The sequence below is a fragment of the Homo sapiens genome, chromosome 9, assembly GCF_000001405.40.
Source record: "Homo sapiens chromosome 9, GRCh38.p14 Primary Assembly".
Taxonomy (NCBI): domain Eukaryota; kingdom Metazoa; phylum Chordata; class Mammalia; order Primates; family Hominidae; genus Homo; species Homo sapiens.
In genome coordinates, this window is record NC_000009.12 from 112,285,890 (window position 1) to 112,303,187 (window position 17,298).

The 17,298-nt window shown below is 36.5% G+C and overlaps 1 protein-coding gene across 18 annotated transcripts in view; it reads right to left on the reverse strand.

Annotated features, from left to right (window-relative positions):
• The window catches only part of PTBP3 (polypyrimidine tract binding protein 3), a 162,168-nt gene that overhangs the window by 68,175 nt on the left and 76,695 nt on the right, over positions 1-17,298 (reverse strand). For 11 of the 18 annotated variants that reach the window (XM_047424272.1, XM_047424273.1, XM_047424271.1 and 8 more), the window contains one exon: positions 11,943-12,027. In XM_047424272.1, the coding sequence (XP_047280228.1) occupies positions 11,943-11,976 (34 nt within the window). In that variant the 5' untranslated portion in view covers positions 11,977-12,027. The remainder of the gene's footprint in view (positions 1-11,942; positions 12,028-17,298) is intronic. The other 7 variants (XM_047424274.1, NM_005156.7, NM_001244898.1 and 4 more) reach the window with 1 other exon arrangement.

A 17,298-nucleotide genomic window follows, 5' to 3' on the forward strand; every position in this document is an offset into this window, starting at 1 on the left:
TGACTGACAGCAGAGTGCTATCTCTAAATATACTTGAAGATTTATCTATTTCTGTTTTGTTCTATTAGTTTTCACTTTACGTGTTTTGAAACTAGGTAATTAGATTAAACAGATCTATATTTAGATTATGTCTACTCAATAAATTGACCTCTTTATCATTATGAAATGTCTCTCTTTATCCCTGGTAATATTCTTTTGCCCAAAGTCAACTTTTCCTGATATTAGTACAGCTAACTACTCCAGCATTTTTATGATTAGTGTTTGCATATATTTTCTTTCCCAACCTTTGGCTTTTTACCTGAGATTTCATATTTAAAATGGGTTTCTTATACACATCAAGTAACTCAGTCTTCCTTTTATCTAAACAATCTTTTAATTGAATTTTTTATTGCATTCCCACTTCATATAATTATTAACGTGGTTGGGTTTAAAAGCCCACCATCTTGTCATTTTTTTTCTATTTGTCCCATTTATTTTTTATTCCTTTTTTCCCTTGTTTCCCGGCTTCCTTTGGATTTTATTTTTTGGTATTCTATTTCATTTACATTATATGCTATCCCTTTTTACTTTTTTTTAAGTGACTCCTGTGGAGTAGACAATATACATCTTTAATTTATCACAGAGTACCTTCAAATAATATTAAAACACCTCAGTACACTGTAAGAACCTTCCAAAGTATACGTCTCTTTCCCTCAAGCTATCCTTTGTGGTACTGTTGTATATTTTGCTTTTCTCATATGTCATAACCGCCAAAAATGTATTATCTTACTTTAAGCAGTCAATAATCCTTTAAATTAACAAAAAAAGGAGGGAAAAGTCACATATTCACATATTTATCATGCTGTATAAAACTCAAGTTTCTAACTGGTATCATTTTCCTCATGTTTAAAGTATTTCCTTTACCATTTCATGAAATGGAAGTCTGCTGCTAACAAATGCTCTCAGCTCTTGTGTGCCTGAAAGAAGATTTTAACTTCATTTTTAAATTCCATATAGAATTCCAGTTTGATTTTTTTTTCCAGCACTCTAATGATGCTTCATTGTCTTCTGGCTTGCACTGTATCAAGTAAGAAATCTCTCTCCTCATTCTAATCTTTATTCTTTTGAAGGAAAAGTGGTCCCCCCTCATCCGTCTCCACCAATCCCCACCCCTGCCCAGCTCTGGCTACTTTTAAGATTTACTCTGCATTCCTGGTTTTCAGCAATTTAATTATGATAAGCCTGGGTGTGGTTTCCGTTGTGTTTATCCTGCTTAAGTTTCACTGAACTTCTTGATAAGTGGGTTTATGTTTTCCACATATATGAAGATTTAGGATAATTTCTTGAGATGTATTTCTGCTCCCTGCCCCAACCATTTTTTTCAGCAACTTCAGTTATACATATGTGTGTTTAGACTGCTTGATTTTGTCCAGAAGTTACTAAGGCTCTGTTCACTTCTTTTTCAGTTTTTTGTTTTTTTTTTTTTTTTGAGACAGAGTCTTGCTTTTTTGCCCAGGCTGGAGTGAAGTGGTACGATCTCGGCTCACTGCAACCTCCGCCCCCGGGGGTTCAAGCAATTCTCCTACCTCAGCCTCCCAAGCAGCTGAGATTACCGGTGCACACCACCACGCCCGGCTAATTTTTGTATTTTTAGTAGAGAAGGGGTTTCACCATGTTGGTCAGGCTGGTCTCAAACTCCTGACCTCAGGTGATCCACCCGCCTCGGCCTCCCAAAGTGCTAGGATTACAGGGGTGAGCCACCACGCCCAGCCTTCAGTTTTTTCTGTCTGTGTGCTTCAGTTTCTTTTGCTATCTTCAAATTCACTGATGTTTTCTTTTGTAGAATACAATGTGCTATGAATGCCATCATGTATTTTTTTCAGGTGTCTTATTTTTAATCTCTGTAAGTTCTATTTGATTTTTTCTCCTTCCTATGCTCATATTTTCCTTTAAATACTTGAACATACTTTTAGTAACTGTTTCAAAGTGCACAGCTGATAATTCCATCATCTCTGTAATTTTCTAGGTTTGTTTCTGTTGATTAATTTTTCACTTGTTTATGGGTCACATTTTTTTGGTTCTTAACATGTCTGGCAATTGGATGCTCCACATTAGGAGCACCAGAATTTGTTATTCTGTTGTTTTGTTATATTTGTTATTTTTCTTTTAAAGTGTTAGACTTCATTTTTAGAAAAACATAAGTTACTTTCAGATTAGCTACACTGTTTTGGAGTTTGTTTTTAAGTTTCATTAGGGTAGATTTGGATTTGCCTTCATGCTGGAGCTAGTTCAGTCCATGTCTCCTCTGGTGTCAGGTGCCCTTGAGTGTGCTTCAAGTATTCAACAAGGACTCTCTGTTGTAGTTGGCTATCACTCAAATATCTCTCCCAGGCCTGTGTGAGTCCTGGAAAGTTAAGCTTATAGCTCTCTGGTTGTTCTTTGCCTGACCTCACAGGCATATGTACTGTGCATATGTGGCTTAATAATATTCAAACAACAGATTCAAAGGTATTATTTCTGAAGCACTTTTTCTACACAGGCCCTTCTCTTTCATACTCTGCTCCCATACCTCCCAGGTAACTCAACCTTCCCAAACTTCAATCTGTTTCTTCAACTCAGCAATTGTGCCATGTCTGCTTGGTTCCCCCAACCCCCACAGTCTAGAAAGAAAACTAGGGTGACAATAGCATTACCTCAATTGTTTCCCTTCTGAGAGCACAATCCTGTTGTACTTGTTCTCCACTGTCTAAAAACAACTACCAGTAAGTCCAGTCCCAGTTACTCTATCATGGTTGAAAGCAGAAATCTACAGATCTTTCACAAATTAGAAAAATTAAATCACAAAATGTATATGGATTAGCATTAAGACTGCAGGTGAGTTTTCTTTAAACTTACTAATTCTTAGAGCAGCTTTAAGCTATTGCTTAATAATTTGATGGATTTAAGAGTTATTTATCAAGTACGGAGCTTAGTGTTTACAATTCTTCATATGGTTTTATTTAAAGCAACCCGCATTTCTTGCTATGAAAAGCCAAGTACGCAAATTAACTGATCAGAGAAACTAGTGTTTATTATTAAATCATAGCCTTCAATACCAGTGGCAGAGAATGCAAATTTGTTTTCCAACGTTTGTTTTCTACGTAAACCCACCTATTTTTAGCTAAGCACGTGCCTATCAGAAAAAAGGACTACATTCTTAGCTTCCTAAGTAGCTAGGTGTGGCTGTGAGACTAAGTAAACAGGATGTAAACAAAAATGATACGCGCTGCTTTTCCCTTAAGTGTCTTTATAAGGAGGGGGTATGTTCTTTTCTTTTCTCTTTTTCTCTTCTTTTTGTACGAGCTCCAATAACCTCCAGGATCATTTGCTAAATCTGAAAATAGACACCATATACCTTAGAGCACTGACTACTTCAGAATTTGTTGAACGTGATGAAAATAAATTTCTGTCTTCTACATTGCTTATATCATCTTTGCAGCCAAATTTAATACTGAGTTCTTTAAAAAGAGGCCATTTAAGTTTTATTTGATAAAAGGAATTTCAAGAAGACAAAAAAAAAACCTAGCTATTTGCAAACCAAACAAGCACATTAACAGTTTATAAGTATTTTGGTCAACAGAAGTACCAGGGGGCCAGGCGCCGTGGCTCACACCTATAATCCCAACACTTTGGGAGGCCAAGGCAGGAGAATTGCTTGAGCCCAGAAGTTTGAGGCCATCCTGGGGAACACAGGGAGACCCAGACTCTACAAAAAAATTTAAAAATTAGCTGGATGTGGTGGCATGTGCCCATGGTCCCAGCTACTTGAGAGGCTGGGGTGGGAGGATCTCTTGAGCCTGGGAGGTCGAGGCTGTAGTGAGCTGTGATTACGTGATTATGTGATTACATCTACACACATATAATACTTATTTTGTGTGTGTGTATATATACATATATATAAAAATACAAATTATTCAGTTTGTTAGCAGTGGCATCCTGCTTAGGAATATTATTAACCCATATCATTTTTATTTGTAAATCAATTAGATTTCTTTAACATTCAGCTTCATAAGACATCAATAATTATACATACAATGGTTTCAAAAGAAAAGACTTCTTAAGCTGAGAAAGAAATGTTAACATTAATCAATTTGCAGACAATTGAAGAACATTTCTAATAAGATGCAAAAAATGGTAGCCATTAAGGGAAAAACATGAAGTATTCTACATGAAAAAGAACAATTTCTGTTTAACAAAAGCCATCAAGTATAAATTTGTAAATTATAGTGTCAGAGGGTATCTGCATACACGTATAACAAAGTATTCATATTCAGAATATATAAAAAACAAGTTAAAGAGAAAAAGCAAACAACCCAATAGAAGAATAGGCAAAAGATCTCAGTAGCCACTTCATTAAAAATATCCAAATGATCAGTAAGCATATGAAAATATAATCGATTTCATTAATATTTATGCAAACAAAAGTCACAATAAGCTATCAATATATGCTTACCAGAACAACTAAAATTAAAAATACACAATATCGGCCAGGCATGGTGGCTCACACCTGTATTACCAGCACTTTGGGAAGCTAAGGTGGGATTACTTGAGGTCAAGAGTTCGAGACCAGCCTGGCCAACATGGTAAAACCCTGTCTCTAATAAAAATATAAAAATTAGCCATGTGTAGTGGCACGTGCCTGTAATCCCAGCTACTCAGGAGCCTGAGGCACATGAATCGCTTGAACCCAGGAGGCGGAGGTTGCAGTGAGCCGAGACCACGCCACTGCATTCCAGCCTGGGTGACAAAGTCAGACTCTGTCTTTAAAAAAAAAAAAAAAATATATATATATATATATATACACACACACACACACACACACACACACACAATCAAGTGTTGGCAAAGTTCTGGAATAACTAAACTGACATATTTCTGGTAAGAGTATAAAATCACTTTTGAAAATTAGTAGACTCTACTAAAGATAAGCACCTGCATATCCTAGGACCCAATAATTCCACTTCTAGACACATACCAAGTAAAATGCACACATGTGTCCACAAAAAGATTTGTCAAGAATATCCATAAATGTGGCCGGGCACAGTGGCTCACACCTATAATCCCAGCACCTTGGGAGGCCAAGGTGAGCGGATCACCTGAGGTCAGGAGTTTGAGACCAGCCTGGCCAACAAGGTGAAACCCCACTTCTACTAAAAATACAAAAATTAGCTGGGCATGGTGGCGGGCGCCTGTAGTCCCAGCTACTTGGGAGGCTGAGGCAGGATAATCACTTCAACCTGGGAGGCGGAGGTTGCAGTGAGCCAAGATTGTGCCATTGCACTCCAGACTGGGCAACAAGAGCACAATTCTGTCTCTGTCTCCAAAAAAAAAAGAAAACACATCCATGTTCATGGATTGGAAGACTTGAAATTGTTTAAATGTCCATAATATTCAAAGTGATCTACAGGATCAATGCAATCCTTATCAAAATCCCAATGGCATTTTTGCAGGAAAAAAAAAAAAAATCCTGACATTCATATAGAACACAAAGGATCCCAAATCGCCAAAGCAATCTTGAGAAAAACAAAGCCGAAGGCCTCACATTTCCTAACTTCTACACATTACAAAGCTATAGTAATTCAAACAGTATGTTACTGACATAAAGACAAACATATAGACCAATGGAACAGATTAGAGAACCCAGAAATAAACTCTCACTTACACGTTCAAATGATCTTCAACAAAGATGCCAAGGCTACACGATAGGAAAAGAACAGTTTCTTCAACATATGGTGCTGGTAAAATGTATATCCACATTTATAAAGAATGAAATTGGACTCTTACTTTACACCACATGAAAAAAAATTAACTCAAAATGAATTAAAGGCCTAGACATAAGACCTGAAACTATAAAAGACCTATAAGAGACAAAGGGGGAAAGCTTCATGACAGTGGATTTGGCAGATTTCTTGGATATAACACCAAATGCACAAGCAACAAAAGAAAATATGAACAAATGGGGCTAATATCAAACTCAAAACCCTCTGCACAGCAACGGAAATAACAGAGTAAAAAGACAATGAAAGAAATGGGAGAAAGAAATCATAAACTACATACGTGATGGGGGTTAATAATCAGAATACATAAAGAGCTACTACAACTCAACAACAAAAACAATCCAATCAAAAAATGGGCAAATTGAAGTCTGGGGACAGTGCTTATTAGAGAGAAAATTTTAAAATTAGTAAAACAAAACAAAAAATAGGTAAAGGACTTGAATAGACATTTCTCTGAAGAAGATATACGAATAGCCAACAAGCACAAGAAAAGATATTCAGCATTACTAATCATCAGGGAAATACAAATCAAAACCACATATCACCTCACATCTGTTAGGATGGCCATTATTTGAAAAAATTTAAAACCCAAAAAATAAGTATTCACAAGGATGTGGAAAAACTGAAACCCCTGTGTACCACTGGTGGGAATAATGGTGCAGCCACTATGAAACACAGTATGATGGTTCCTCAAAATAATAAAAAACAGAATTACCACATGATCCAGCAATCTCACTTCTGGTATATACCAAAGAATTAAAAACAGGATCTCAAAGAGATATCTGCACACCATGTTCACTGCAGCGTTACTCACAATAGCACAATAGCTAAGAGGTGGAAGCAACCTAAATGCCCATGGACAGATGAATGGATAAATAAAATGTGGTATATACCTACAATTATTCACCCTACAAAAAAGGGAAACCCTTCCATTTGCTGCAACATAAATGAACCTTGAGGACACTATGCTAAGTGAAATAAGCCAGTCACAAAAAGAAAAATGTTGCATGATTCCACTTATATGAGGTATCTAAAATAGCCAAACTCTTGGAAACAGAAAGCAGAATGGGCTAGAAGAGAAAAGGAAGAGTTGTTGCTAAATGGACAGAGTTTCAGTTTTGTTAAGATGAAAAACTTCTAGCGATCTGTTGTACAACAATGTTCCTATAGTTAACATTACTACACTGTATACTCAAAAATGTACAAGATGGTAAATTTTGTATTTTTGACCAAAATGAGAGATAGAGGGCACACAAGCAAACACGGTGAAACACACAAAAAGGGAATATTCATAGCAACACTACATATAAAATGGAAATAATTCAAATATCCACTGATACAATAAAATACTATATAGAAATGAGAAGAACGAAAGGGATTGGGGCAATACACAACACAAGTTACTCTCACAAACATAATGTTGAATGAAAGAACCCAGACAGGAAGGACGATATACTATATTTATTGGCTTATTCATATAAAGTTTAAAAACACAAAAAACTAACTTATGATGTTAGAAGTCAAGCTAATGAATACACTTGGAAGGAGGAAATGAATGAAAAAGGAAAGAAGGATTCCTGTGAGTATTAGCAATGGCCTGTTTCTTGCTCTGGATGCTGATTATATGGTATATGTATGTCATAATGTTATGGTAACAGTAATACTAACCAATTAGAGTACAAAAAGAAAGCAATGAAGAAATATTTTATTAATATAGCTGTGAAAATTATAAACATACACAAAATACAGTACATATGTGGTTGAATGCATATGTGATTGAGTGTCCCCTTCAATATCTCTATTCTCCTTCCCTTGTAAAGTAATAGAACTCCCTCAATTATGATTAGACAGGACACACCAGAATAAAGACCAATTTCCTAGACCCTTCACCCTCGCCCCCTTGAAGCTGGTGTGTCAATGTGACGAAGTTCTAGCTAACAGAATGAGAAAAAAGTGCAACTTCTCAGTCTTGTCCCTACAATGGACTCAGCCTCCACTTCTCAACTCTCACCCTTAGTGTGTAAGTCTCATCATTATGGCCCAAGATGGAGGAAAAAGTTCAGCTTCAACTGTCCTTGTTACCCTTCCTGTGGGTATGATGGAAAGAGAGTACTATTTTCTATCTTGAGAAGGTAGTCGTGTTGAGGATAAAAGAACAACAAAAGAGAAAAAGTCTGGTCCCCAACACAATTCAAGAAACTAAGTAAGCCCCTGACTACTTACCCAGACTTCAGAAGAACTTAGAAATAAACTTAAATCTGTATTTTTAGGTCTGTATTACGGTTCTATTAGCCATCTAACCTATAACTGAATATAGCATATCAAAATACCCCACGACCAAGTTGGTTTATTCCAGGCATGCAATAATGGGTCAACATCAGGAAATTGTATTTCACTACATCAAAAAATTAATGGAGACCAAATCTCACAATTAACAGAAGCACAAAAGATGATGGTAACATTTATAGCCATTGATAATAAAAACTAAGTAAAATAGAAAAGGAAGGAACCGATTAAAGTATGATGAAGGATTATTATCAAAACCTGGCAAGGTACAGTGGCTCATGCCTGTAATCCCAGCACTTTAGGAGGCCAAGGAAGGAGGATTGATTGATTGAGCCCAGGAGTTTGAGACCAGCCTATGGACAACATAGTAAGGCCCCATCTCTACAGAAAATAAAAAATTAGCTGGGTGTGGTGGCACATGCCTGTAGTCCCAGCTACTTGAGAGGCTGAGGTGAGAGGACTGCCTGAACCCAGGAGGTTGAGGCTGCAGTGAGCCGTGTTTGTGCCACTGGACTCCAGGCTAGAAAACAGACCAAGACCCTGTTTCAAAAACAAAACAAAACAAAAAATCCCAACAGCAAACATTATATTAAAAGATTAAATAATAAAGCCACCTCCATTGCAATTAAGAACAAGACAAAGATAATCACAAATTACCACTGTTATTCAACTCATTTATGGAGGTTCCAGTGAATACATAACAAGTTAACAAAACAATCCATATATTTATATACTCGAAATTATCTTTATTTGAAGACACATCATTGAATAATTCCAAAATTCAAAAGACTAATAAAAAATTACTAAGACATTTTAGTTAAAGTAAGTATACATAAAATAAATATTCAAAAATCAATAGGTCTTCTCTGTACTAGCAGTATCCAGCTAAAAATGAAAACAGGAAAAAAAAATTCCCATTCAATAATAGCAAAAATACTAAATTAAGTTTAGCTGTATATAACAATATTTGAAGTAATAGTTACTTAAGAAGTTAATCTCAGGCTCACGCCTGTAATCCCAGCACTCTGGGAGGCCAATGCAGGTGGATCACTCGAGGTCAGGAGTTCGAGCCCAACCTGGCCAACATGGTGAAACCCTGTCTCTACTAAAAATACAAAAATTAGCCCGGCACGGTGGCAGGCGCCTATAATCCCAGGTACTCAGAGGCCGAGGCAGGAGAATCTCTTGAACCCAGGAGGCGGTGGTTACAGTAAGCAGAGACTGCGCCACTGCACTCCAGCCTGGGCGAGACAGAGCAATACTCAGTCTCAAAAGAAAAAAAAAAAAAAAAGAAGTTAATCTCTTGCTCACATGAAAAGTCTAAATGTAGGAATTCCAGATCTGGAATGGTGACAATGTTATCAGGCTCTAGCTGTCTCTGTTACAGATGCCTGTCATTCCCATCATTATCTAAGAAGCTGGAACACCCACAGGCAATAAGATTGGAGGAAAAAAAAAAAAGGAAAAACAGTGTACCCATGTAGAGATGCCCTAAAAGTTTCATATTACACTTCCACTTATACCTTGTCAAGACTTAATTACATGACCACATCTAGCTATAATGAAGAACAGAAGAGTAGCAGTTTCATCTGGGTAGCAATGTGTCAGATAAAAATTGAGGTTCTGTTGGTAAAAAAAAAAAAAAAAAAAAAAGAATAGCATTGGGGTACACAATAAACAATCTCTGCCATTAATTCCTAAGATACATTTTAAAAGAAAACTATGTGATTTATATGGAAAAGTGTGGAACTTTTTCAAAATTGTCAAAGGACATAAAATAGAACCTAAAAACATGGAATCATAGGTCATAATCCCAAATGGAAAGATAATACCAAAAAATGATCAACATTTCACATTAACATATAACTCTAACATAATTCTTATCAGAATCCCTAAGATATTGTAGGTAAAGGTTCGGGGAAGAAGGATTCTTTGTTTTAGAACTAGATCAAGCTTGTCCAACATGCAGCCTGTGCACAGCATGCAGCCCAGGACAGCTTTGAATGCGGCCCAAAACAAATTCGTAAACTTTCTTAAAACGTTGTGAGACTGTTTTGCAATGGTTTTTTAGCTCATCAGCTATCATTAATGTTAGCGTATTTTATGTGTGGCCCAAGAGAATTCTTCCAATGTGGGTCAGGGAAGCTAAAAGATTGGACGCCCCTGAATTCGATGAAATAATTTAAAGCTGACATGGAAAAAGACATGCCCACATTAAGCTAAGAGAATTTTTTAAAACAACACCTAAACAGAATTTTAGTGTTAGGTGACAGAATCAGATGTTAACTTTTTAATAACAACACCTAAATAGAATGACTGTTAAGTCCTAGTTTGCCTGAGGCTGTCACAATTTCGTACCATTGTTCTAGTATCCTGTATGCTTTAACGCTTTCATTTTTAAAAAGAATTATTATTAATAGTTACATTAAAATAAGCTAGAATGAGCTTGGTAGATCCAGTTCTTTTCATTCTGTCTCTATACTTGTTCACTTTCCCGAACATCTATGTTCCCATGGTCCCAAACACCATATAAGCTCCTGGTCTGGAAAAGGAGGTCCATTCATCCCCACCTCCCTACAACTCCAAAAACATCTGGATAAAGAAACCCTCCCTTCTCTGAAACTCTCCATGTCCATGGCTTCAGTTGTCAACTGTGTATGATACTATCAAATTTCTTTCATGATGTTGAGACCAGGGACCCACTGCCTATCTGTCATTTCCATTTGGATGTTCCAAAGGAAACTCAAACTCAATATATACAAATCTGAACCTGTGTCGTCCAACTCTGTTCTTCCTACATTCGAATAGAAATGAATGGCACAACCATTCATTACCATTCATCTACCCAATTATCTAAGTCCAAGTTCAAAACCTGGAAATCAATGGTGATATCCCTTATTCAAACATTCAATTAATCATCAATTACTATCAATTTTATCTTCTATAAGTTATTCAATTTTCTTCATCACACTACCACTGCCACAGTGCCAGTTACCATCCTTTATTAGGATTACAGCAATAATCCAAATAAAGGATAATAATAATAATAATAAATCCTCTTCACTGCTCACTCTCTTTCCAGTACTGCACTCCTTCAATTCACTTTACGGCCACTAAATTTCAAGAACATTTATTTTAAAATCACGTGGTACCTTATGGTACGTAAATTACTTCAATTTTTAAAACGTATCGTCTTATACTTTAATACTTCTATTCAAGTCCATCATCACTCAAGTTTTGTTTTTTGTTTTTGAGATGGAGTCTCGCTCTGTCCCCCAGGCTGAAGTGCAATGGCACGTTTCGGCTCCCTGCCACCTCCGCTTCCCAGGTTCAAGCAATTCTCCCTGCCTCAGCCTCCCAAGTAGCTGGGATTACAGGTTCCCGCCATCACACCCAGCTAATTTTTGTATTTTTAGTAGAGACGGGGTTTCGCCATGTTGGCCAGGCTGGTCTTGAACTCCTGACCTCAGGTGATCAGCCAGCCTCGGCCTCCCAAAGTGCTGGGGATTACAGGCATGAGCCACCACACCTGACTTCAACCCAAGTTTTAGATCTAGCTCTTTTACTCAATAGTTCTGGGTCACCAATTTATTGACAGTATTTTTATCAAAATTATGTAACACAAAGAACATCAATCAAAAAACTGAATCATCAAATTAGATCCAAATGAATCCTTAAAATTTGAGAGGTATAACTAGTGATTTCACCTATGTAAACAGTATATAGTACTTTACCGAAACAAATTTTAGCTTTTGTTATGAACAGTGGCACTTCAACATGATATAAGCAAAATAAGAGCATTGTAAAAAAACAATTTGAAACCCACAGAAATCAAATATTAAAAAAAAAAAAAAAACTCACCATACACACCTGTAGAAGGAGTAGAACTATTCATGGTAAAAGGTCCGTTAATGATGCCAGAAGAAAGAAGCTCATCAGATCCCCGCTGAAAAGCAAAACCAATGTTTGGTTAATAAACCAAGTTTTAGATAATGGTCCATATTTACTAAAAGTATTAAAAGCTAATAATATTACTTCATCTTTGTATGAAGACATTAAAGGGGGAACTCCTCAAGAATCACAAAATCAAATGAACTGCATAGCAAGAAAAAATTACTGCAAATCCACAACTATATAAACACAACTGCCACCACAGAAATGGGGACATAATCTTTAAATTCTTTCTAACCAAACGCAGGTTTCCAAAACATAACATCTGAAAGTGCCAAACCATATTTAGGGGGTTGCATTATGACATTGTTTTTGTAGCATATATTTGTATGCAAATAGTTTGTACAGTCCTCCCTAAGAATCCTGACTTTTCAATACCAACGTATTTTTTTAAGTAGAAAATATACTTCATTTCCATACTGGCCAAATTCTTTATAATCAATAACTTTTTATCCATTAATCCTCCAAATGATCTTTAATGCAGACTATTTCTTAAACAATTGTTTAAGTAATTTACTCTTTTTTTCAGGTAAGAGTTTTGATCAACTTCCAAATCTGAACTGGCAACACTAAAAAGTAACTCAGAGAAGTCTTTTCATTGTAATGTAAGATCTACCACCAACATTTAAAAGATTACTTTCAGGAAGGACAATAAATACTATGTACAAAGTTAAAACCAACCTATTTTAAATAGTACTATTGGTTTACCTTGGCCAATTTTTAAGAACAAGTGTTTTGATACACTGGATAATAAAAATTAATCCCCAAACAATCCTACAAATATTAGAACAGCAATAGTGCTACAGCACATATTTAATGTTTAAGTGTAGGTGCCACTTCTGTAGGGAACAACTTTAGCCTTTGCTGAAGAAAGACAAACCACCAATATATCTATATAATAGAAATACAATTATTTAAACAAGTCCTGTATTTAAACATCCAGAAATTACTCCCTTTGGATCTTTCACTGGAAGTTTATAGAGACATCTGGGAATAAGAAGAAGGAATTAAGTAAGCAGGATAAAAGAAAACTGAAAATCTCAACTCCCAGAAAAATCAAGATTAAGGCCTCACTTAAAGCACAGGTCTTCCTAATAAAATCTGAGATGTAGATATTATCAGGCTACATATGATAATTAACAGACTGTGGTTTGCTGGCTACCTGCAGATAAAGACACATTTTCACAGCTTTAAATGTATTAATAGTAAAAATTAAAACATACACAACATGATTTTTATATATGAGGAATTTGGTTAAATGCATTACTAACAGATATATCTTCCACACATATGAGTTAGCATCAGTATGTTTCTACCTATAAATCAAGTTAATATAAAGTTAGAAACCACTTGAAGGTGGTCACTTTAGCTCTTTCGAGATTTGCAGAAATGTATTTTTTCAAGAATAACAAAAAGCACAAGTATAAAGCAAAAATACTGATAACCTAGATAACATTAAAATTAACAATTTTATTTAACAAAAGACATCATTAGGAGAATAAACAGACAAGTCATGGAATAAGAAGATATCTGCGATATGTAAAACCAACAAAGGGTTTATATCCAGCACGTACTAAGAAAAAGAAAAAAGGAAAAACAAAACACTAGAAATCAGTAAGAAAAACCCAAGATAACAGAAAAATGACAAGAGACTTTAACAGCCATCTCACAAAGTGGTGGACTATGTCACTGTTCCAGAGTATTTGTACCCTCTCCTTTTCCTGAACAAGAATTATTCATCCCCATCCATGGCCATGTGACTTGCAATGCCTCCAGTGGGAAGAGTATAACTCCCTCCCCCCATTGACAACACAGTTTTGTAATATCCTTTGGCAAATGGAACATGAATGGACATGACCTATACTTAATCCAAACAGTAACTTCAAAAATCAGTCATTTCTGCCAGTTTTTTCTCTTTCCCTCTGAAATAAGAGCATATCTCAAATAGGAGGTACTCTTTCAGCCTGATTCTCAGAATAACAAGTGTAGCTCCATAACAGCTACCACCATTGTAAGTGAACAAGAAATAAATGTTTTTTTAAACAATTTATAAATGACTAATACCATATCCAATCAAACTAAAGATATTTGACCGCATCCTCATTGGTCATCAGGGAAATGCAAGTTAAAACCACAATGAAATACTGTAAAATTAAAAAGATGGACAATATCATGTTAGTAATAATGTGGGGTGACAAAAACTCTTATATGGGAGTTAAGTATAATTTAGTGAGAGTGTAAATTGGTACCACTTGGAAAACTGTCTGATCCAATCTATTAAAGTCAAATATATGAATATCCTAGGATCCTTACATAGTCTACTCCGATGCATAAACCCCAAGATATTGCCTGCTTGTGTGCACCTAGACATATAAGATTGTCTTCAGCAGCATTATTTGTACTCGTCAAACTGGAAACAACTAAATGCCATCAACTGCAGAATAACTGAGTAAATGTTTGTAAATGCATGCAATGACTATACAACAATGAGAATGAACTACGGCTCCACATAACACAGATAAATCTCACAAACCTAAAACGTCAGTCACGGCCGGGCGTGGTGGCTCACGCCTGTAATCCCAGCACTTTGGGAGGGCTTGGCGGGCGGATCACAAGGTCAGGAGATCAAGACCATCCTGGCTAACATGGTGAAACCCCGTCTCTACTAAAAATACAAAAAATCAGCCTGGCGTGGTGGCGGGCGCCTGTAGTCCCAGCTCCTCAGGAGGCTGAGGCAGGAGAATGGCGTGAACCCGGGAGGCAGAGATTGCAGTGAGCCGAGATCACGCCACTGCACTCCAGCCTGGGCGACAAAGCGAGACTCCGTCTCAAAGAAAAAAAAAAAGTCACAAAGAATACACGCTATATTGTTGCATTTATATGGGGTACAAAAACCCGGGCACAGTGGCTCACACCTGTATTCCCAGCACTTGGGAGGCCAAGGAGGGAGGATCACTTGAGGTCAAGAGTTCAAGACCAACGTGGGCAACATAGGGAGACCCCATCTCTAAGTAAATAAAAATAAAAACAAAAAAAATGGATTATCAAAACCAAAAGCACGAATGGCAATAAATAAATAAATAAATAAACTGAACTTTGTCAAATATAAAAACTTTTGTGTTTCAAAGAACACCATCAAGAGAATAAAAAGACAACATGGAGAATGGAAGAAAGTATTTACAAGTCACACATCTCACAAGAAACTGGTACCTAGAACACCTAAGAACCCTTAAGATCAACAATAAAAAAAGACAACCCATTGGATTTGAAAAGGTATTTCTCCAAAGAAGGCCAGTAAGTACATGAAAAGATGCTCAACCTAATTAGTCATTAAGGAAATGCAAATCAAAAGCCACTTCAAGGAAAAATTAAGACCATGATACTACCACTTAACTATCAGAACACCTAAAATAAAAAGTTACAATATCAAATGCAGACCAGGATGTGGAAAAAATAGATCTCTCATACATTGCTGGTAGCAATGTAAAATGGTACAGACACTCTGGAAAGTAGTTTGGTGTTTTCTGAAAAAAAGAAAAAAAAAAACAAACAAAAAAACTAAACATACACTTAGCAACCTCAAAAGATAATATGCTCTATGATTTCACCTACAGTATTCTCAAAATGACAAAAATTATAGAGATGGAAAACAGATTAGTGGTTGCCAGGAGATAGAGATGGTTGGGTGGAGGTGGTAGGTGATTATAAATGGTACCATAAGGAGATCTTTGTGGTGATGGATTAGTTCTATATCTTGACTGTGATGGTAGTTATGTGAATCTACATATGCAATAAGATCAAACAGAACTATATACAGGCACTGTCCCAATACCAATGCTTCTGTTTTGATGGTGTACTATAATTATATAAGATGTAACCACTGGAGGAAACTTAGTGAGGGGCACACAGGACCTTTCTGTACTATCTTTATAACTTGCCATGCATCTCTAATTGTTTGAAAAGTTTAATAAAATTAAAATTAAAAAATAAAATATAGGACAACAGGTACTTCATTCTCAGCCAAAGGATTCCTACTGGCTTGAGAGTCCTGCTGTCTTCACTAACAGTCATCACTAACACCTGTGTTCAACCCTGCCACAGCCCGCTGTTACAGATCATCCTCAACACTGTGCTTCTGTACAACAGTGGTCCAGAAGGCATCCCTTCAAAGATAAGCAGAACAAAAAGAAAAGAAAGGAACATTACAAAACGCAGATAACATATACCAGAAACTACACAAATTTCAATTGACAGCAAATAGCTTTTTGTAAAATGAAAAAAAACATTGACCTAATACCCTCTCTACAACAAAACTATAAAGGGATACAACAGCTCAAGGGAAAGGCAAATAAGAAATCTACCAAAAGAGTTAAAGGAAAAATTGACGAGAAAAAAGAATACGGCAGTATCTTGAAAGTCAAACATTTGAGAAGTCAAAAGCGCAAACACCTTTCTACCATCCAAACAAGTTACCTGCTGTGAGGAACCAACTCTTTTCATATTTTTGACATAAAAAAACTGGAAAGAAGAAATGTACAGGAAAGCACTTTATCTTAGAGACACTTGAGATTACCAGAAAGGCACCTAGACGAGGTGTTAAACTGTTAACACAGGCCCCAGACAAGGGCTAAGAATCCCAAAAGCTGACTATATTCTTCATCTTTTTTTTTTTTTTTTTTTTTTTGGAGACAAGGTCTTGCTCTGTCACCCAGGCTGGAGTACAGTGACACGATCTTAGCTCACTGCAACCTCCGCCTCCCAGGTTCCAATGATTCTCGTGTCTCAGCCTCCTGAGCAGCTGGGATTACAGGTGTCCGCCCACAACACCCAGCTAATTTTTGCATTTTTGGTAGAGACAGGGTTTCACCCTGTTGGTCAGGCTGGTCTCGAACTCCTGACCTCAAGTGATCTGCCCACCTCTGCCTCCTAAAGTTCTGGGATTACAGGCGTGAGCCACCACGCCCAGCCTGACTATATTCTTCTTAATGCACACATGCCATTTCAGTTTCAATTTGGGGAGAAAAGTAAGTTACTCATGTTTTTTTTCTATTTTTTTCTCATTCGATAAACTGTTACCTACTTTCCTACCAAATAAATTTCCAATCAACCATTAATGTGAAATTATTCCACTGGTTACTGAATCAAGTCTAAATGTCCTGTGATGGCAATGAAACAATCTTTCTAATCTGGATCTCTTGCTCACAGTAACACTCCCCTGTCATGTAATTTTCTCCAAATAAATCATACTTATTCTGCATCTTTTTAT